This window comes from Homo sapiens, chromosome 14 (assembly GCF_000001405.40).
Source record: "Homo sapiens chromosome 14, GRCh38.p14 Primary Assembly".
In the NCBI taxonomy this organism is placed as follows: domain Eukaryota; kingdom Metazoa; phylum Chordata; class Mammalia; order Primates; family Hominidae; genus Homo; species Homo sapiens.
This window is the reverse complement of record NC_000014.9, coordinates 51807927-51829093: the sequence shown is the minus strand read 5'-3', so window position 1 is coordinate 51829093 and position 21167 is coordinate 51807927. Positions and strand designations below refer to the sequence as shown.

Here is a 21167-nt window from a genome sequence, read left to right as displayed (position 1 = left end):
TGGTGTCTGTTCTACCTATCAGTGCCTTTGCTCACTTGTTAAATATTGTGACTATCATTCCTGAGCAACAAAGAATCAAAGTATCATCACTGTGGACCTTGGCATTCCCAAGAATGGTGACAAGAGGGTTTGGGGAGTGTGATGGTGGAAGAGAGCTAATATCTTGAGACAGAGGGCCTGTCACGTCTGCACATCAAACTGCCAGGCAGCGGGGAGGTAGTGGGGCTAAGCCTCTGCCGTCCCCAGCCCTGAGCCCCTGGGGTGTTCCTGAAGGGTGAGGGCAGGGCTATAGGGGCAGGAGAAACCAAGGAGAAGGGTTTCTGGGGAGGAGAAGAGGCCTGAAAATAGCAGAGTCAGAAACAAATTTCACCAGCTTCACAGTCCAGCCTTAGACCAACCCAAGCAGCTTGATGGGTCTGTAAACTAAGCTACATCTTGTGGCCGTTAGGATGCCTACTTCATACCTGGGTAGAATGCATTCCAGAATCCTCAGTGTGGCCGTGAGTCAGACAGATATCATAAGCCAACCACAGCCCAGTGAAAACAACATGTTTTCTTCTGCTTTTGTGATTATCTCCTTGTTGTTTTGTGATTATCTCCTTGATTTATTCCTTCCCTCCTTTTTTCCTCCTGCCCCCTTATCAGTCAGAGCTAGGATAAGCAATATCAAAAAGTTGTCAAGGTTCTTCTGGTCCTGCTTTCCTTTATGATAACAATTGTGCCCTGGAACCATTTTCAGGCAGGCACAGCTCCCTGCTGGGGGAAACAATCCGGAGCTCAGGCAAGTAGGAAAACTTCCCTACTGTGTGAAAGCGCTCACCGCAGACCAGGCTCTGCCACCTCCTGTTCACCTTGAGGTGGCTTCCCCAGTCCCTGCAGCTTCCCTGCCCAGCACAAAGCAGCCTTGCCGGAGACTGTGGCTTTCACCACACAGTGACTCAGCTCCCCTGGGGATGATGGCAGGACTGTCTGCACAATCAGCCACAGTGGCACCAAATAACTCATGTTGAGGAAGCTAGTCAGTTCTACCGAGGCCTCTCATCCCGAGAATCCATGGCCACTGCCCCCAAGGCATATGGTGCTTGCCTTCCCCCAACCGTCTACAACCCAAACATCTATCCTGGGTTATTCTCTCATCTTCCGCAGCTTTATGCTCCCTCCTGAGTCCTCCCACTCTCAGACTCTCTCTCCAAGCTCTTTACTCTTTCCACCATTCCCTCAGAGAATAAACACTTCAACGTTTTCCTCTTTGCAGTATCCTTCCATCACCATTTGTTGAAGCCTACCTTTGCCTGAAGGTACACCATCTCTTGCTTCTCTTTCCATTGGAGGTTGCAATTTCCCCTGCATGCCCCTAGACCAGAGGCACAGGTTGGGCTCAGGAATCACCCAGCTCCACGGTGCTGCTTTTCCACTGCGTGTAATTCTGGGATATGTAAACATATACGTGGATGAACATCCAACACACTAATCACAGCTTTAATTATTTGACCTCAAGTCTCAAAGCTGAGCTAGTTATAGTCTGGAACTGTATGACATCAAAAAATACCACTCCTAGCTTTCTCACTACATCTGTTCTCAGAGGGATCACCGGGACCAGGATTTCTTCTTTTCCTCCTAATTCAGTGATTGTCCAACTTTAGCAGGTATCAGGATCACCTGGAAGGCTTGTTAAGGCAGATTGCGGAATCCCTGCTCCCAGAATTTCTGGTTTGATAAGCCTGGAGTAGAGCTCAAGAGTTTGCAATTCTAACAAGTTCCCAGGTGATATTGATACTGCCAGTTTGAGGACTACACTTCGAGAAGCACTGTTCTAGTGTATGTGCCCAATATTTTTCAAACTTGTCTTCATGTTAGAATTACCTGGAAGGCTTTAAAGAGTATTGACATCTGTGCCCGTGCCCTTCTCCTAGGGATTGTGATTTAATTCACCTGGGATGTGGCTTGGGCTTTGGAACTTTTAAAAGATCCCCAGATTATTCTACATACAGGTAAGTTTGGGAACTGCTGCTGTCACCGTCTAGCCTCCCTTCCTTACCTGCCCACCTTGAAGGGTGTGGTGAATTACCTGAACTACACCTCTCACCTTGTGTCAGCCTCGCTCCTTCCCCCAGGAAACCTCGGATCTGTGTCAACTTATCTTCTCATTGCTCCTAAGTGCTAGACATCAAGCATGGCTGGAGAAAACCTCATAGCCATCTCATTCTGTGCCTAATCCCAGCTGTGCTTATTTATGGGTCTTTTAACTTATCCTTGGTTTCTCTTTTCTCTCCTTCACTGATAATTCCAAAACTTCACCATTCTAATTCACCCTTTTGAACTCTTCAGCTGACCTCATCTCCTACTTCAGCAAGTAACGTTGGTCCCATCAAGTGTGATTTCTTTCTATATTTTACTCCATCCAAATAACTAGTTTATCTGTAGCCACACCCTTGCTTCCCTCTTATCCCTTCATCTCAGAGAATGAGGTGTTCCTGTTTCAGGTCAATGCCTCCATTCCGCCACCCACATCACTGCACTCAGCATGATTAATGGCATGTATACAGTTGTTCTCAATACTCACGAGGTGGGGTATTGGTTCTGGAGACCACCCCTGCCTCCCAACCACCAATACCAAAATCTGCAGATGCTCAAGTCCCTGATGGAAACTGACTTAAAATTTGCATATAATCTATGCACATCCTCCAACGACTTTAAATAATCTCTAGATTACTTATAATACCTAATGCAAAGTAAATCTTATGTAAATAGTTGTTATATTTTCTTTTCAAAATTTGTATTTTTAAAATTGTTGTCATTTATTTATTTAATATATATTTTTGATCCCTGTCTGGGAACCCACAGATAGGAAGGGCCACAGTACCTTCAGCCATCCGCTCTTGCTGGCTCTGCATGCTCTCCTGCAACCCTCAGCCTCACTAGACTCTAACTCTCCCCCTTTTCCTATCACCCTCTCATATACATGACAGCATCATTTCTCAGTTCTTGCTGCCCACTGATGGCTGATTCAGAAGGAGGAGTAAATCCTTCCAGATGCCTCTTTTAAAGGCTTTTTAATTTGGTATTCAGAATTAAGATCTTTCTCTCTCTCTTTCTTGCCATGTAAAAAGGGGACTCTGCTCATGCTGTCAACAGCTCACTTCTATTTATTTCTGGAACCCAGCTTCTTTGCTCAGTATGCTAGGCACTAATGAGAAAGTTGCCTCAGTAGCATAAAGCATTATATTAGTGATGCTTTTGCTTCCAACACGTATTTACCACTCAACAAAGGCAGGCACATAGCTCTTGTCAGAACAATGAAAAAGCAACAAATCCAGCAACCCTTTGGGAAACCAGTTGTCTGGGGATTTGAGGGTCTCCCATCCACATGGTGACAGCTCCAGCAAAGGCAGGAAAGAAAATCACACATACACACATAAAGGAAAATGACAAAAACACAAACAGGAAACAGAGTACAAGAAGGAACAAGGCAGAGAGAAGAGTGTCTGTGTAGTTTTGTCTGCTCAACTAATACAGTTTAATAAAATTTTGTATAGGAATTGTGCTCACATTATTAGTACTGTGGCCCACCTGTCAGATTAGATCTCCAGTTCTAGGTGATATGTAGTGGATTTCTTCCACTGTGGCTTTGAGAACATTAACATTAGTTTAAAACAGAGTGCTACCATTGCTTCTTTTTAAAAACATTTCAACTTTTATTTTAGATACAGAGGATACATGTGCAGATTTGCTGCATGGGAATGTTGTGTGACGCTGAGGTTTGGAGTACGAATCCCATCACTGCTGTTGCTTCTATTCAAAATACAAAGTAGGGCTTGGTGCGGTGGCTCACGCCTATAATCCCAGCACTTTGGGAGGCTGAGATGGGCAGATCACTTGAGCCCAGGAGTTAGAGACCAGCCTGACCAACATGATGAAACCCCATCTCTACCAAAAATACAAAAAAAAAAAAAATTGCTGTGTGTGGTGGCACACCTGTAAGTCCCAGTTCCTCAGGAGGCTGAGGCCAGAGGATGGGTTGAGCCCAGGAGGTGAAGGTTACAGGAGGTGAAGGTTACAGGAGCCGAGATTGCACCACTGCAATCCAGCCTGGGTAACAGAGCCAGACCCTGTCTCAAAAAACAAAAACAAAATACAAAGTATGTCAGGAGGAATAATTGAGGTAGCTTAGGTATTAATTTTCCTCATAGTATATTTAATAGTAAATATATTCATATAAAATTATATATTATACATATTATAATATTAAATATTGTATTTATATAAAATTTCTTATTTTGACATAATATAGAAACAGTATCAAAAGCATGATGCATAAAAGAAATAATAAATTGGACCTTATCAAAGTTAAAAGACTTTTGTGCTTCAAAGGACACCATTAAGAAAATGAAAGGATGGACCATAGACTGAGAGAAAACATTTTCAAATCATAATCTGATACAGAACTTGTATTCAGAATATATAAAGAACTCTTACAACTCAATAATTTAAAAAAAACCTTTTTTAAGTGGGCAAGAGATATGAACAGACATTTCATCAAAAAAGATATAGGAATGGAAGTAAAAGCATGAAAATATGTTCAATATCATCAGTCATTAGGATAATGCAAACAAAAACCACGATGAGATGCCATTCTACACCCAGTAGAATGGCTATAATCAAAAAGACAGACAATACCACATGTTGATGAGGATGTGGAGGAATTGGATGCTTTGTGCATTGCTGGTAGGAATGTAAAATGATACAGCTTCTTTGAAAAACAGTTTGGTGGTTTCTTATTTTTTTTGTCTTTTTTTCTTTTTTTTTTTTTTTGAGACAGAGTTTTGCTCTGTCACCCAGGCTGGAGTGCAATGGCAAGATCTCGGCTCACTGTAACCTCCGCCTCCTGGGTTCAAGTGATTCTTCTGCCTCAGTCTCCCAAGCAGCTGGGACTACAGGTGTGCACCACCACACCTGGCTTTTTGTATTTTTAGCAGAGACGGGGTTTCACCATATTGGCCAGGCTGGTCTTGAACTCCTGACCTCGTGATCTGCCTGCCTCGGCCTCCCAAAGTGCTAGGATTACAGGCGTGACCCACTGCACCCGGCCTGGTGGTTTCTTAAAAAGTTAAACAAACTTATTGTATGACCCAGCAATTCCACTCCCAGGAATTTTTACAAGAGAAAAAAAACACCTGTACAACATAAAGACACAGATGTGAATGTTCATGGGAGGATGATTCATCATAGACCAAACTGGAAACTTTCCAAATATCCATCAGCTGGAGAATTGACCAACAAAATATGGTAAATCCATACAGCAGAATAATATTCAACAATTGAAATGAAAAAACTACGGATTCAGACTACAACAGAGGTGAAGGTCAAAAACATTGTGCTACGTGAAGGAGGCCAGATATACAAAACAGCATATCGTATGTATGATTCCACTTACATGAAGTGTTCAGGAAAGGCAATTTGTAGAGACAGAAACAGGTCAGCGTTTGCCCAGGGCTGGGGGTGGGAGCCAGGATTTACTACACACAGGCGTGAGGATACATTTTGAGGTGACAGAAATGCTCTAAAGCTGGATTATTTTATTTATACCTCAATAAAAACTATTTTAAAAAGTTAACAGCTCACAGTTCTTTAAATCGCCAGTGAACAAAATTTCCATTTGTAATCACTATTTTAAAAACATGGGTAAAGACAACACTCTGAGAGAAGAGGCTCTTGGGGGCTTTGAGTAGTTCATGCCAGTGGTCAAACTGTGCTTGACCAGACTGCTACAAGAAACTGGCTTTAACACCCAGATTGAGAAGTCTGCATTTCTCTGTTCTCACTTCTTCCCAAGGTGAGAAAAGCCAGGGACCTGGACAAGCCACAAATCAAAACAACATTCTTGAAAAACAAGGCAGCTAACTCATTTTTTGCCTGGTGCCAGTTCATTTTGCCAGCATATATGTTATTATAATTCAAGCTTGCCTCATTCATCCTTAAGGGTCATCAGACAACCCAGAATGAATGCAGTTGCAGTATTTTCTTGTCAGGGATTGTACTGAAAGGTGCGTGTGCAGCACCAACACCATCCTCTGCACGAGCATCTCTCATGTGCAAGGCAATGAGCCAGGCTTGTGGGCGTGAGGAGGTGACACAGGCTCTGTGCTCAAGGAATTTGTAACCTGGCTGGAAAAGCAAGCTGAGAAATAGTCATTAGGAAACAACTAGTAAATGATAAGAAAACGTTGTAAAATCAAGTTGAAAACCTCAAAATGTAACACAAAGGAGTTGCACTACAATATGGTTTGAGTTGCTACCAGCTTGAATATTCTACTGTTTTTTTGGAGAAAAATCTTGGTTGTTTGTATAGGCTGTGTAGCCACATAGGCTGTGGCTGGGTAACTTAAGGATTTGTTATGTTTCTGTGACAACTACTTATTTAGTGATGCTTTTTGGTCTGTTTCATAAATTGCATGAATTACAAGATTGTTTCATTTCTAAGTCAAGATCTCATCAGTAAAGCTGAGCCAAGGTGTGTGTGTGTGTGTGTGTGTGTGTATGTGTGTGTGTGTGCAGCTGCAATATATTCCGTCTCCCTCTCTCTTTTCTTTTTTTCTTGTATGCCCTCGGTTATGCATGGCAATGCTGATATTATGAGAAATAAAGTCATTATGTTATAACTAAAAAGGGAACAAGGTAAATTTCCCAGGACCGTGCATACGGTAGCTTACCTTGGCCTACCAAAGCAAAGCAGAGGTCCTTGGCAAGTGGTGCTAGGTCTTATACTTGAGTTTCCAGACAAAATCCAGATCTGTTAACCAAAGGCAGACAAACGTCACATGTCCTGACACTCTTGGTCTACACCCGTGGTGAAGGAAATGGCCTCATTAGTGATTCCTCTCCTATTGAAAAGTCACCCCAACTTTTGAGTAAACTTATGAACTGCACACATTAATAAGGCAGCCTAGGATTTTGCAGACAAACTTGCATTCCATTTATAAAAAGTTTTTATATTCTTTAAAACATTTAGCAATTTGCAGAGAAATGAGTCATTGTTTAACACAGGGTCAGGATTGAGGTCTGGGTATGAAATGATGCAAATTAAAATCACATCTTCCCCATCTGCTCTCTCTCATTCCCATCTCATTGTATTTATAGACCTCCAAAGAAATGTAAGTGGCAACATCATATCTAGGCATTGGTAAATCAGTCTTTCATATGTGTGAATGCTCCTGGGCCTGAGAGATTCCATAACCTCACTCCTGCTTTTTCTATTTGTACCTGCACCCACCAAAGATATTTCCAGAAATATAACTCATTCCTGCCACCAAGGCCTAACTCATACTTGGCCCACCCTCTCCCCACCTCCTGGGATGCCATAGCCTTCACTCACGTTCTAAATTACATTATAAGGTTTACTTCATCAGAAACATTATTCTGGCTTCCTTTTAGCAATCTTGTCTTGAAATGCAATTCAATGCAAGATATTATAATGTTATAAAAATGATGCTCACCCAACTGCTCAACTCTCAGGAAAAAAAAATCAAGTTAGATCTTTTTTTCACATGGCATGCCAAAATAAACTCAAGTGGATAAAAGCTTTAAATGTAAAAGTACAACAAAACATAAAAATAGTAGAAGGAAAGGTAGCTAAATATTTGATTTATGGATGGAGAGGCCTTTTCTAAGGTTAAAATCAATAGAAGAGATTTATGGATAGAGAGGCACTTTCTAAGGTTAAAATCAATAGAAGAAACCATAAAGGAAAATATTGGGTTGACTACATAACCATTAAAATCTCCTATATATAAAAATAATCATTAAGAAAATTAAAGAGTAAACACTAAGCTAAGAAAACATTTGCGAAAAATATTAATAAAAGTTAATGTTCCAATATTGAGAACTTATATAAATCATTATGGAAAATGCTTAACAGTTCTATAAAAAGTAATATCCCAAAGGGCATAAATAATTTATTATATAAAGCCAATTTATAAATGACAATTTAAAAATGCTGAAGTCTTCAATCACATTTTAAGTGAAAAACAAAAATTAAAGCAATGGTCAGATGGGATTTTTTTTTTAAAGATTTGTAAGTCGGATAGTAACTTCCTAGTGTTGGGGGAGAGAGTTCAGTGAGAAATACCTTCTTCTATGCGGTGGGAGGACAAACTGATAAAAACTTTCTGGAAGGCATCCATCTATTTTGACAATATATATCAAATGTCTTTTAAATATTCACATAATTTGACAGATTAATTCCACTACCAGAAATTTACATTATGAAACACAGACATGTATACATAAGGATGTTATTTGCAACAACTTGTAACAAATTGGAAACAGCCTGAAAGTCCAACGTTTGAGGAGTAGTTGAATAAACTATGGAATAACCATAAAATGGAGTTTTATGCAATTATTACAAGTTATTTGGGAAATATTTTAAATTGCACAAGAAAATGTTTCTAATTTCATAATGCCTGAAGGAATCTGCAGCAGTATAAAATGTAGTTCAGTTATGGAAAATGCATTTTAGAGAGTATAATAAACTTGTAAAATATTAATAACGGTACTTCTGAGGAGTGGGATTATAATTGTTATTTACTCTTTATGCTTTCTGTATTTATCAAATTATCTCCCATCCATAGCCATCTGTTGTTTAAGAAGGAACAAAAACATTTTTCATAATAATACAATAAATATTTAACAATATAAAAAAATTAGGATATTCTTAGCAGAAAAGCAGGATTCAAAATAAGCGTAGACCAGGCACAGTGGCTCCTGCCTGTAACCCCGGCACTTTGGGAAGCTAAGGCAGGAGGATTGCTTGAGGCTAGAAGTTGGTGGCTGCAATGATTGTGTCACTGCATTCCAGCCTGGCCAACAGAGCAAGACCCTGTCTCAAACTAATAATAATAACTAATGATAATAATAATTGCAGTATGACTGACACATGCAATCTATACATGGGGGATTCTGGGATGACTCACTGGCTTCTGGCTTATGAATGCTGGTTTCCTTTAAAAAGAGAGAAATTCCATTTTGGGGTGAGAGACTGTCTCCTGTATTGACCATGTTGAGTTCGGTGTACCTGCAGGATATGTGAGTGAAGATGTCTCAAGTTGTGTAAGGTTTGAAAGACAGAGAGAGAGAGAGAGAGAGAGAGAGAGAGAGAGATCTGGGCTAGAGGCAAAAGCAGAGATGTGAGCTGTAAATTTGAATGAAGGACCAGATAGAACGTAGAAAGTGGAAAATGGAACCTAGAGCTTTGGACAGGGCTCAAAGGAAAACAAGCATTTAAAGAAGAGGCGCCTGATAAGAAACCCCCAAAGAAAAAACACACAGGGGAGAGTGGGGTGCAGATGTCAAGGCAGAGAGAGCTGCAGTTAATGGTGCCAAGTGCCATGGCGAGTGCAGAGAATAGAACTGAAGTGCACTGCGGGGCTCAGAGCATCTGTTAAATCTATGTGAGGAGAAAACAAGGCAGGAAGCCAGCTGGAGAGATGGGGAAGAAGACAGGGTTGCGGGGAAGGTGGGGTGTTGGGATTGTTAAGGTCCAGGCACGTTCCACTAAAGTCAAGAGGAAACCCACCATGTGCCAGGGATTAGGGTAATGGTATAAAGGAAAGACATATATATTTTCTGCCCTGACTGAATTTAAAATGTTATGAGAAACACAGGAACACCCAAATAATGACCTACTTGTCTATCAACTTCTTCCAAAGTTAATTTATGGTCACAAAATGTAAAATGTCAACAGAATGGCGGCCAGCAACAGATGCCTGGCCATCTGAAACCTGAGCTGAGAGCCCACCCAAACTCACATAATGTCATTGTCAAAGAGGTGCTGTCCTCTGTCACATCCAGTCACACCTCAACTGTTCTGCACCAGACCCATTTAATATTCTCTATCCCCAGCCGCTCTGGATCCCTGCCAGGACAATATTGTCATCCAAGAGCTCTGTCTGACACATTGATCTGTGCTCTGAACAGAAAAGTGGTGTCCACTTAAAGGACAAGTAGACACAGATCTGCTCACTGCAGGTGTGCCTGCCATGATTTCTGGAAGCTTTCTTGGAACTGAAGTGAGCCCAGTAATGCAGCCAGGCTGTGACGCAGCAGGCAGGTAGACAAGATGTGGGTGTGGGTATAGGCAGCTGCAACTTCCCTTCCATTGTGATGCTTCTGAGCGCCCGTAATAGTCGTTTGCATACTGCTCTTGGTACTGACATCAGGTTGTAGTTGCGGGGTATGTTTTTCCTTCCCATGTAAATAGTTGACCCTTGTAAGGAAGAGAAATTAAATCTACTTTTGCATATGCCCCTCAGATTCCAGCACATTTTACGTAGCGTTGTATACAGCCCATACCCCTTTTCCCCTTTTTCCTGCTTTGAATCCAGACATGATGTATGAACTTGAAGCCCACCTTGGAACCACAAGGTCACAAGCATGAGGGAAAGGTCAAGAGCCTCACCACGTTGCTGACCATGACATCATCAAGCCACTGAATCTGTGCCAGCAGCGAGCTAGGGCAATAATTTATATTATGAGAGAGAAATAATTTTTTGGCTTAAGCCACTTGTAAGTCAGGTTTTCTGTTTCCTGCAACTAAATGTAAGCTACCCAGCCAGCATCCACTCCCCTGACTTCCACACTAGAAGAACCCCAATTTGTTCAGCACTCCATGCCTTCTTCACTCAGCTAGGTGCCTCAGGTGACACTGACCCCATCTCTAGCTTGGGGGTGGCATTGATGGCCAAGGGTAATTTAATTTCATTTTCCTTGCCAGTATCCAATTAAGGAACCAATGAAGCATGGAGGGAGGGTGAAACCTGATGGGCATCGGGGACAAGGTTCCCACGATACAGCAGCAATAAGAGTCTCTTTCGTCTTCCTGTGAGTATTGTCGTGTCCAGCTGGAACTGTTGCATCCTACTTCCCTGAGGACGAGGCTGACATAAAAGATGGTGGGGTGAAGAGGCAAAAATAAGCTGGATCCTTGTTGACATTCTTGCTCTGTGGAATCAGCCAGCCTTGATGCCTGTGTAGCCCCTGCATGTCCTGTTCTGCAACAATGTAAATTTATTTTTATTTACTTCTTTTTGAGACAGGGTCTTACTCTGCCTGGAGTGCAGTAGTATGATCACGGCTTACTGCAGCGTCAACCTCTTGGGCTCAGCCGAAACTCCCACCTCAGCCTCCCAAGTAGCTGGGATCACAGATGTGCACCACCACACACAGATAATTTTTCAATTTTTTGCAGGGATGGTGGTCTCCCTATGTTGCCCAGGCTGGTCCCGAACTCCTAGGCTCAAGCAGTCCTCCCACCTCGGCCTCCCAAAGTGCTGGGATTACAAGCATGAGCCACCACACCCTGCCAAATTCTTTATTTTTTAATCCAGTTCAAGTTGAAGTTTTTGTTACTCACCCCTGAAAGTATATTTACAGAAAACGAAGATACAGAGAATGGTTTAGCCTAAAATGTGTCCTGAAGCAAATGTTCATTTTACCCTGGCCAATCTGACCCAACTAGAAAAATGCTCTGATTTATTAAACTTGTGTCCCTAAGTAGGGTACAGAGATCAAGCCAATAATCACAGATTATCTTCCCTCTCATGGGACCTTAGGGTAAATGAGCCAATGAAAAATAATATTCTTGCTTCCGATAAGACTTGAGGAAGAGAGAACAGTGGATTGTTTCATAATAGGAGCTGGGGCTGCTGCAGTTGGTATTTCATAGGCTGATATCCTCCATGCCCTCCAACCCTCTCCCAGTCCCTTCTGGGACTATAAAGGTAAAGACCCCTGTGCATGCTGTGCATGGTCTGTGGTTGGCAGGAGCCATTGTTTCTGTGTCTCTGAATAACTTTGTCCCAATGAGATGTGGCGGTTTTATTTAGCTGTAAAAAGGACTCAAAACTATGTGTTTAATGGATAAGGCCGTGGCCGGGGGGAGGGGGAGGGGGGGCTCAGCAAGTGGCTTAACCCATTGTCTTAGAAATGGCTAAGTACCATTTCTATCTCTTCTTCTGTCCTCCCTCCCCAGTTATATCCAATAAATTGTCCTCTTTTTCTTACCTAAGTGCTCACTGTAGAATATGGCTGAACTACGCAGGTGGTCCAGGGAGACTTGGAGCAGCCTGTCTGAGGTCACTGAATAATCCCAGAAACACATCCACAAAACTGAGCCAATACTATAAGCACAGAACATTTTTAGAAGCTGTGGGACAGAGGAAGGCCCTTCCCAAGATATTGCTTCGGGACCCAGAATTTAAACATTCACCATTGGCTCCGGTCATGCAGGCTGTCACATGCTCCTGAAAAGATGGCTGCGTGAGTCCTTCATCATTGCTATTGATACGGGAGGGGGCAGGGAGGTGCTGGGTAGAGAAGGATGGGGTCCCTGGCCAGGGCTCCACCCTCAGGCCTGTGCCCACGGACCTAAGTGAGGACAGGCATTCCTGTTTTCACGCCCAAAAGTTGCATTTTCCAAGACCACCCTGGCCCGCCACAACCCCCCGCCATCCCATGCCCATAGAAACCCGAGAGACCCTAGTGGGCACATGTACAAGCAGCTGGGCGTCGAGAGGAACACACTCGCAGAAAAACACTAGCAGGCCATCGACGGTGGAACCACGCAGACGCTGAGGGAAATTTGGCAGAGGGCAGTCAGAAGCAAGCCCAGCCACTGAGCGGCCTGACTCCAGGGGAAGACCCCTTCCCACTCCATCCCTCTTCCGGCTTCCCATCCATCTGCTAAGAGCTACTTCCACCACTCAATAAAACCTTGCACTCATTCTCCAAGCCCATGTATGATCAGATTTTTCCAGTACACTAGGCAAGAACCCCAGGATACAAAAAGCCCTCTGTCCTTGCGATAAGGCAGAGGGTCTAATTGAGCTGATTAATACAAGCCGCCTGCGGATGGCTAAGCTGAAAAAGCACGCTGCAACACACGCTCACCGGGGCTTCGAAAACTGTAAACACTCAACCCTAGACGCTGCGGTGGGGTTGGAGCCCACGCTCCCTACTACCTGCCCGACTGCATGCTCTCCCTAGGGGTTTAGGCTGCAGGGCGCGGAAGAAGGGAGCCACTCCCCTTGTCACGCCCTGTAAGGGGGATAAGGGAACTTTTTCTGTTTTACTATGACAAATCCTTCAAAAATGAACTTGCAGCATTTCAGAGGTGTAGCCATGTCTCTCACCTGCTCACGGTGAACCTGGAGTGCATGTTCCCAGATAAAACCATCAAATGCCCACCTTGCCTTTAAGGCTCTCTGGAAGATCTGTCTTCTTAAAGGGCTGATATTTACTCTAATTTTCTACTTGCTTAATAAGCAGTATTATAACCAAACATGTATTCTTTCAACCCTGAATGTTCTTTATCCCAGGTGATTTAAACATTTTCACCTTTTGTGAGATGTGTTCATCTTCTGTGAATGTCCAGAGTCCAACATCGTGAAGCATCGCCAAACGCTTAACACATGCTTGAGGAATAAATGGATGAATTGCGTGGATACCTGTAGTGGGAACAGACAGGAGATTCTTTTTTAATATGTATGTTCTGCACATTTAAGGCAATGTATCTAATGGAGATTCTAGCTTAGAAATTTAATAAGAAACAACATAATGATGGGCAGCGGGGGGGTCTGAATGCTGAAACTAGAAAGATTTTCAGTCTCAACTATATCATCATAAATAAACACTACTGTTTGTTGTTTGTCCTGCATATAGGACTGGGAGGCATGGTGTTAGGTGCTACATATATGACATTGTGTTTGTTCTTACAATGACCTTATACTATATATATATGACCTTATACTATATTCTTACAATGACCCTTATATTATATATATACTATATACATATATATAAAATAATAATACATATAATAATGACCTTATACTATATATATACTATATATGTATATATACTTGTAATTCTTATTCTAAATAATGAAGGAAGTTAAGTAATTTTTCTGCAGTCACACAGCTAGGAGTGGCATATATACATGCTTGACACTTTATAACCGTCTTAGTGTGCCCAGGGTACCTTTAAGAAATTTATCAGATCTGGTTCAGGCACAGTGGTTTATGCCTGTAATCCCAGCACTTTGGAAGGCTGAGATGGGAGGATCACTTAAGCTCAGGAGTTTGAGACCAGCCTGGGCAACATAGCAAGATCCCATCTCTACAAAAAATAAAAAATGAGCCAGGCATGATGGGTCACACCTGTAGTCCCAGTCTACTTGGAAGGCTGAGGCAGGAAGATCACTTGAGTCCAGGAGGTCAAGGCTGCAGTGAGCTATGATCTCACCACTGCACTCCAGCCTGGGAGACACAGTGGACCCTGTCTCTAAGAATAAATCAATACATAAAATAAAAACTAAATTTATCAGCTCTGAAAGAAGACGCAGAGTAGGGAGGCTTTGAAACCAGGTAGATGCGATCCTCCCACCTCAGCCTCCTGAGTATCTGGGACTACAGGCGCATGCCATCACACCTGGCTAATTTTTATATTTTTAGTAGAAATGGAGTTTTGCCATATCGGCCAGTCTGGTATCGAACTCCCTGCCTCAAGTGTAAGCCACCATGCCTGGCCAAGAGTAATTTTTTTTTTTTTTTTTTTGAGACGTCTTGCTCTGTCACCCAGGCTGGAGTGTGGTGGCGTGATCATGGCTCACTGCAGCCTTGACCTCCTGGGCTCAAGTGATCCTCCCACCTCAGCCTCCCAAAATCCTGGGATTATAGGCATGACACCATACCCAGCCATGACAGCAATTTTATTTAATCTTCATAACTCTGGTTCAACAGGTTTGCTCAATAGACCTTGTGCTATGATTTTTTCTTTCTCTCAGAATGCCCCTCTATCTCCCCACCATAAGCCTAAATCCTCCTCTCCCATTTATGTTAGCTCAAATCCTACTCACCATTCTGAACTGACATGATAATTCTAATAGTATGATTGAGACCTTACTATGTGATAGACTCTGTAATAAACACTTTATTACTTAATTTAATTGCCAAAACAATGCTATGTAGGAGAAACTACTATTAATCTCATCTTATAGTTGAGAAAAGTAAGTTACGAGCAGTTAAATAGCATTCCCATGCTCACCTAGCAAGGAAGAATTAGAAGAGGAGAAATTTCTTTTTTTTTTTTTAATAGAAAAAAGCCTGGAAATAAGTATACTAAATTAAGAGAGGCTAGCTCTAAATGCTAGAGAAATATATGGTTTTTATTGTCTTCTTTATATTTTTCTTTATGTTCTATTTTTCTACAATAAGCGTGTATTACTTTTATAATAAGAAAACCAAAAAAGCATTCTCCACTAAAAGGTATTAAGGCTTTTTGGCGGAAATGGCTAGGTTCAAGTCTAGAGCAGATAGAGTACAGGTGAACCTTGACATCTTGTTGTTCCAGAAATTAAGGAAATACTCAAGAACTAATGGGATCATGTCAAAAGTTTACAGGAAGCAGCCTGAAGGGCTCCCATTAGCCAAATTTGGAACAATTAAAGCATCAAAAATAATAATGAGTATAACTAATGCCAACATATTGACATAACAGAAAAAAAGAAAAGAAAGAAAACATGCTGGATAAGAAATGTGAACTTAGATAGAAAAATAACCATTTGCAACCCCAATGTAATAACTGATTAAGGCAAGAAGGGATCAATGAATGCCATGAATAAAACTACTTACCAGGTAACAGGTGACAGGCTGCAGAGGGACCAAATAATATTATTGTGCAGAATACTTATTTATTGCAAAGAGAAAGACTTTCCTATAACAAGGAAGAGATGTGACAGATCCTGTCTTTGCCAAATGTCTAAAAGTGATAAATTAAAAAATACACATTTTTTTTATTCTGAGGCAGGGTCTCACTCTGTCACCCAGGCTGGAGTGCAGTGGTGTGATCAAGGCTCACTGCAGCCTCGACCTGCCAGGCTCAATCGATCCTCCCACCTCAGCCTACCAAGGAGCTGGGACTACAGGCATACACCATCACACCCAACTAATTTTTGTATCTTTTGTAGAGGTGAGGTTTCACCATGTGGCCCAGGCTGGTCTCTAACTCCTGGGTTCAAGCGATCCTCCTGCCATGGCCTCCCAAAGTGCTGGAATTATGGGCATAAGCCACCACACCCCAGCCAAAAAATAAAAAGAATATTATTCACTTAAATATTGGAAGAAAAAGGTAAAGAGTGGAAAGCAGTTGTCATTGGGGAACAGGCATCAGGAGAGGTAAGGAGGGGAAAATGACCTTTGGGTTTTTTTCATTTATAAGTCTCTAAATACAAATCAATTTTAAGCATGTGCATATGGTATTTCTTTTTTAAAAGGTAATAATAAAAGAGCAAGTGAGAAGTATTCTGTAAATCAAGAGAACACAGCTTTTGGAGAATAAGGTAAAGTTAGCTGAGGCCTTGCATTGAACACTGGGTTTCTCAAAGGGCAGGTTGTCAGACCTTGGTAAGCGCAAGCTTGGAGGAAATTCAAGAAAGAATGGGATAAGAGAAAATTGATATTGCTTATGTTTTCAGTTTTGATGAGCTTTAGATGCACAGAAGTTCTAATTCCAGGATAGTGAAGTGTATCCATTTCCTCTGTGGTTTGTACTCATTTTGCTTCCTCTTTAAGAAAGCATTCCTGCATTTTCTTCTGGAAGTTATTGTCAGCACTTTGCTATTAGTTTAAGGACAAATAAATTTGTTAAAATGAAAAAATTTGGTTTAAAATTTTAAAAAATGATGACGCAGACTTTCTCTGCCTACAGTTTTCTAACTTCCTTGGACAAAAGATCAAGCCATTTTTCCTCAAAGAGAGGATATCTGTCGAAAACAGCTGGCCCTGTTTCCACCAGTTTCACATTTGTGGAGTCAATCAACTGCAGATCTAAAATATCTGGGAAAAAATAATAACACAACAATAAAAAATAATACAAACAAAATACAGTGTGACAACTATTTATATAGCACTTACATTGTATTAGGCATTTTAAGTAATCTGGAGATTATTTAAAGTATACAGGACAATGTGTATAGATTATATGCAAATATTACACCATTTTATATCCAGGACTTGAGCATCTGTGGATTTTGGTATCCATGGAGGTCCTGGAACCAATTCCCCTTGGGTACTGAGAGAGGACTATTTCTTTTTTGAGATGTCTCATGGGGTAATTTGAAACAGCCCTCTAGACAGCTTGAAATATGCAAGTATTTATTACATTTTTATGGGATGATAGTTCCCTTGAAGGAAAGAACAAGAAAGTATATTCCTCACTGATTATCAAACATTTTTATTCATGTAACTAACTGCTAAATTGTAACTTAGAGTTACAGAACTCCTTATGGTAGCTTAACCCCTTGCTACTCAAAGTGTGGACCATGTATTAGTAGGCCAGCTTCCCCTGGGAGCTTGTTAGAAATGCAGAATCTCAGGTGCCACCCTAGACCTACTGAATCAGAGTCTGTGTTTTAACAAGGACCCCAGAAAATTCCTATACTCATTGCAGTTTGAGAAGTGCAGTCTCTTTTTTTTTTTTTTTTTTTTTGGACAGGGTCTTGCTCTGTCATGAGGTCATGGCTCACTGCAGCCTCTATCTCCCAGGCTCAAGAGATCCTCCTGCCTGAGCCTCCTGAGTAGCTGGGACTGTAGGTGTGTGCCACCACACCTGGCTGATTTTTAAAATTTTTAGTAGAGATGAGGTCTGAATATGTTGTCTAGGCCAGTCTTGAACTCCCAAACAAAAGGAATCCCCTTGTCTTGGTCCCCTAAAGTGTTGGGATTACAGGCATGAGCCACTGTGCCAGGCTGAGAAGTGCAGTCTTAACCCATAAGACAGAGAGGTGTGCAGGAGGTAAGTCTCAACAATGTAACCATTTTTTGAGCACGGTGGTTCCTAAACTTGTCTGCACATCAGAATCACCTGGAAAGCTTTAACAACTACAGATGTTTGAGTCCCACCCCTAGAAACTCTGATATGATTGGTCTGGAGTACAGCCTGGGCATTGAAGTTTGTTTGTTTGTTTGTTTAGGGCTTGGGTCTTGCTCTGTTGCCCAGGCTGGAGTACAGTGGTGTGATCACGGCTCACTGCAGCCTCAACCTTCTGGCTGATCCTCCTGTATCAGCCTCCCAAATATCATGTCTGCTAATTAAAAAAATTTTTTTTGAAGAGATGAGGGTCTCACTGTGTTCCCTAGGCTGGTCTTGAACTCTTGGTCTCATCCAATCCTCCCACCTTAGCCTGCCAAAGTGCTGAAATTACAGCAGTAATACCAACATTACTGGCCCACCATGCATGGCCTGCCACTAAAATGTTTTGTGTTTGTTTGTTTTGAGGCAAGAACTTGCTCTATCCCCCAGGCTGGACTGCAGTAGCGTGATCATGGCTCACCGCAGCCTCAACCTCCTGGTCTCAACAATCCTCTCCCTTTGGCTTCCCAAGTAGCTAGGACTACAGGCACACCACCATACCAGGCTAATTTTTAAATTTTTTGTTGAGATGTGGTTTCACCCTGCTGCCCAGGCTTGAAATGTTTTTAAACCTTTCCAGGTGATTCTAATGTTCAGGCAAGGCTGAGAAGCACCTCCCCTGAAAACCTATAAGTTAGAAATGATTTCAGCTGCAAGCCATAGAAAAACCAAGTAATGGTGGCTTAAGCCAGTGGTTCTTAAACTTTGCTGCGCATTAGAGTCACTTCAGGAGATTTTAAAAATTGTGATGTCCAGGCTGGATCCCAAAGGGTGATGATTGAACTGGGATGGTGTGTGGTCTGGTGGTAGATATGTGCAATCAGGTTGGTTTAGCAATTCTGTGACACTTACCAATACCCTGCTCTTCTCTCCCCTCTGTCTTCTATTGGATGGAATTCTAGCTGGGATTCCCTATCCCCGTGGGCAGCTGGTGTGCCGTGTGTTCTTGCCAATGGAATGCAAGTAGAAGCATGTGCCATTTCTGAGAAGCCAGATAAAACATGTTAGGCGGGCTCCTTCATGCTCTCTTCTCCTCTTCTTTCTGGAATGGCGATGGCCAAAAGAACCTTGGAAGGCATAAACTGAAGACAGCTTTTACCACGAATTCTTTCAAGAAGATGTGAAAAAGATCCACCCCTCAACCTGACACTCCCAACCTGGACTGTTACGTGAAAGAGAAATAATCATGTATTTGTGTTGCTTGAGCATTTAGCCATTTAGTAAAAGTAAATGCATGAGACATAATCCGTTTTTATCTTTGCATTACTCCTGTGAGACAAATATCATTATATCCATTTTACAAATGAAGAAGCTGCGATACAGCAAGGTTCAGTAACTTGCCCAGAGTTACACAGCTAGAAGGTGAGAGAAGGGGTTTAAAGCTAAGGCTTTCTTATTTCAAATCCCAGGCTTTTAACGACATACCATGTATTCTCCCATGGATTTTTGAAAGTAAAAACATCATAGTTGGAAAAAATGAAGAGTTGATACAGAGAAGGCTGATACAGAGAAAGCAGCTTACATCTGTGTCTTGAAGACTGAATGTTCAATTCTGTATTCAGTAGCTTGTTGCTCCATAATTGTCAGCTGCATCTTTTTGCCTCAGCAATCAGGTCTCCATGCCTCCTTCTCTCTCACATCTGCTCTGTGTGCCCACGTGTCTGATCTACATGCTGCTGCAGTGTGGGTCTTCCTAAAAAACTATCTTCTCATGTCACTTCCTCCTGGGACAGCTTCAGAACCTACCAGTTAAAGCTCAAATTCCTTATCGTGGCACGGAAAGCCTTCCTCACCTTGCCCTGCCCTTACCTTCTGATCTTTTCCTACACCATCTCTCTGTTTCAGTCAAATGTGCTTAATTCACTTTACTAAGCCATAAACTTTCAGGGTAAGAAGGAACTTTAAAGTCAAGTAATTCAAACCATCTGTATCAGTTAGCTATTGCTGTGTAACAAACTACCCCAAAACTTAGTGCTTTGCATTTCTAACAATTCTCAGGGTGACTGGGTCGTTCTTTTGTAGATGTCACTTGCGGTCACACATATGGCTCCATTTGGCTCTAGCTGGGCTGGACGGGAAGTTCATGAAGGCCTCTCTCACACCATGGGATCTTTGTGTTATCAGCCGCTGAGTTCCAGGGTTCTTCCACATGGCCTCTCACTCCACGAGGCATCTCGCTTCACGAGGCATCTCGCTTCGTGAGGCATCTCACTCCCAGGACTTCTGCGTGTGACCTCTTGCTCCACAAGGTGTCTAACCCTCTGGGGCTTCTCCATTCGGCCTCTTGCTCCATAAGGTGTCTCCTCCTCTAGGCCTTCTCCACGTGGCCTCTCACTTCACAGGGCGTCTCATCCTCCAGGCCTTCTGCATGTGGCCTCTTGTTCCATGAGGCATTTTACTTCTAGGCCTTCTCCACATGGCCTCTTGCTCTGTGAGCTGTCTCATTTTCCAGGGTTCTTCCGCATGGCCTCTCTCTCCAGCAGGATAATCTTAATGTTCTTATCCTTGGTTTCTAAAAGGGAAAAAGCAGAAGCTATTGTACTTCTTAAAGCTTAGGCCTCTAACATATACAATGTCACTTCTGCCACATTCTATTGGTCAAAGCAAGTCACGGAGCCAGCCCATATGGACTCCATCTTTGGAAGCGAGGAGTGGCAACGGGAAGCTGTGGCAATCTTCTCCCTCTCCCTCTACATACCTCTGCCTCTGACTCTTCTGACATCTCTACCTACTGTTCTTTCTTAGCATAGCCATATTACAGAGTTTAAAGAGTGGGCTCCAGGGCTACCCTTATCTAGGTTTGAATCTCAACTCTTACCTACTCTTTGAGCTTGAGCAAGTTACCAAACTTCTTTGTGCTTCCATTTGTTCAACCATAAATTACAGGGAAATATAAATCCTACCTTAGAGAGTTGTTGTGAGAATTAAATAAGCTAATACAAAGGTCTGGAACAGTGTCTGGCTTTAGTAAGTGCTTCATAAATGTTAATTAGTAGTAGTATTTGGTGGCTCTAGCTCTCAGTTTGGTGCAAAACACAAAGAAGTCAGGTGAGGCCTAGGGTTTAAGCTCCAGGGCAGGGGAGATTAGAAGTAATATATACATAATCCCTAAGGAGTCACCGTTGCACCAAAATGCCTTGATTTAATTGATTAATGAGAAATATTTCAGGGGAGGGTGTCTAAGTGCTTCTTCAGCTTCTGAAGTG

The 21167-nt window shown here is 42.1% G+C and overlaps 1 protein-coding gene and 1 long non-coding RNA gene across 2 annotated transcripts in view, besides 1 other annotated feature; both read right to left on the bottom strand.

Moving 5' to 3' along the window:
- The window catches only part of GNG2 (G protein subunit gamma 2), a 143622-nt gene extending 140702 nt beyond the window's left edge, over positions 1 to 2920 (bottom strand). Inside the window, exons 1-2 of the mRNA NM_001389707.1 lie at positions 2864 to 2920; positions 1287 to 1426 (exon numbers count right to left, since the gene is read on the bottom strand). The gene's annotated coding sequence lies outside the window, so the exon portion shown is untranslated. The remainder of the gene's footprint in view (positions 1 to 1286; positions 1427 to 2863) is intronic.
- A 1154-nt stretch (positions 2921 to 4074) lies between these two features.
- Positions 4075 to 21167, bottom strand: part of LOC101927598 (uncharacterized) — a 59204-nt gene continuing 42111 nt past the window's right edge. The window contains exons 3-8 of the long non-coding RNA XR_002957605.2: positions 18814 to 20473; positions 12058 to 13499; positions 10812 to 11045; positions 8970 to 10261; positions 6711 to 6790; positions 4075 to 4109 (exon numbers count right to left, since the gene is read on the bottom strand). This is a non-coding gene — a long non-coding RNA (uncharacterized LOC101927598). The remainder of the gene's footprint in view (positions 4110 to 6710; positions 6791 to 8969; positions 10262 to 10811; positions 11046 to 12057; positions 13500 to 18813; positions 20474 to 21167) is intronic.
- Positions 12590 to 13091: an enhancer, noted in NCBI's record as "H3K4me1 hESC enhancer chr14:52282721-52283222 (GRCh37/hg19 assembly coordinates)". NCBI's record gives its function as "activates a minimal SCP1, AML or CMV promoter by ChIP-STARR-seq in naive H9 embryonic stem cells {active_cell/tissue: H9 hESC(naive)}" and the evidence as "EXISTENCE:reporter gene assay evidence [ECO:0000049][PMID:30033119]".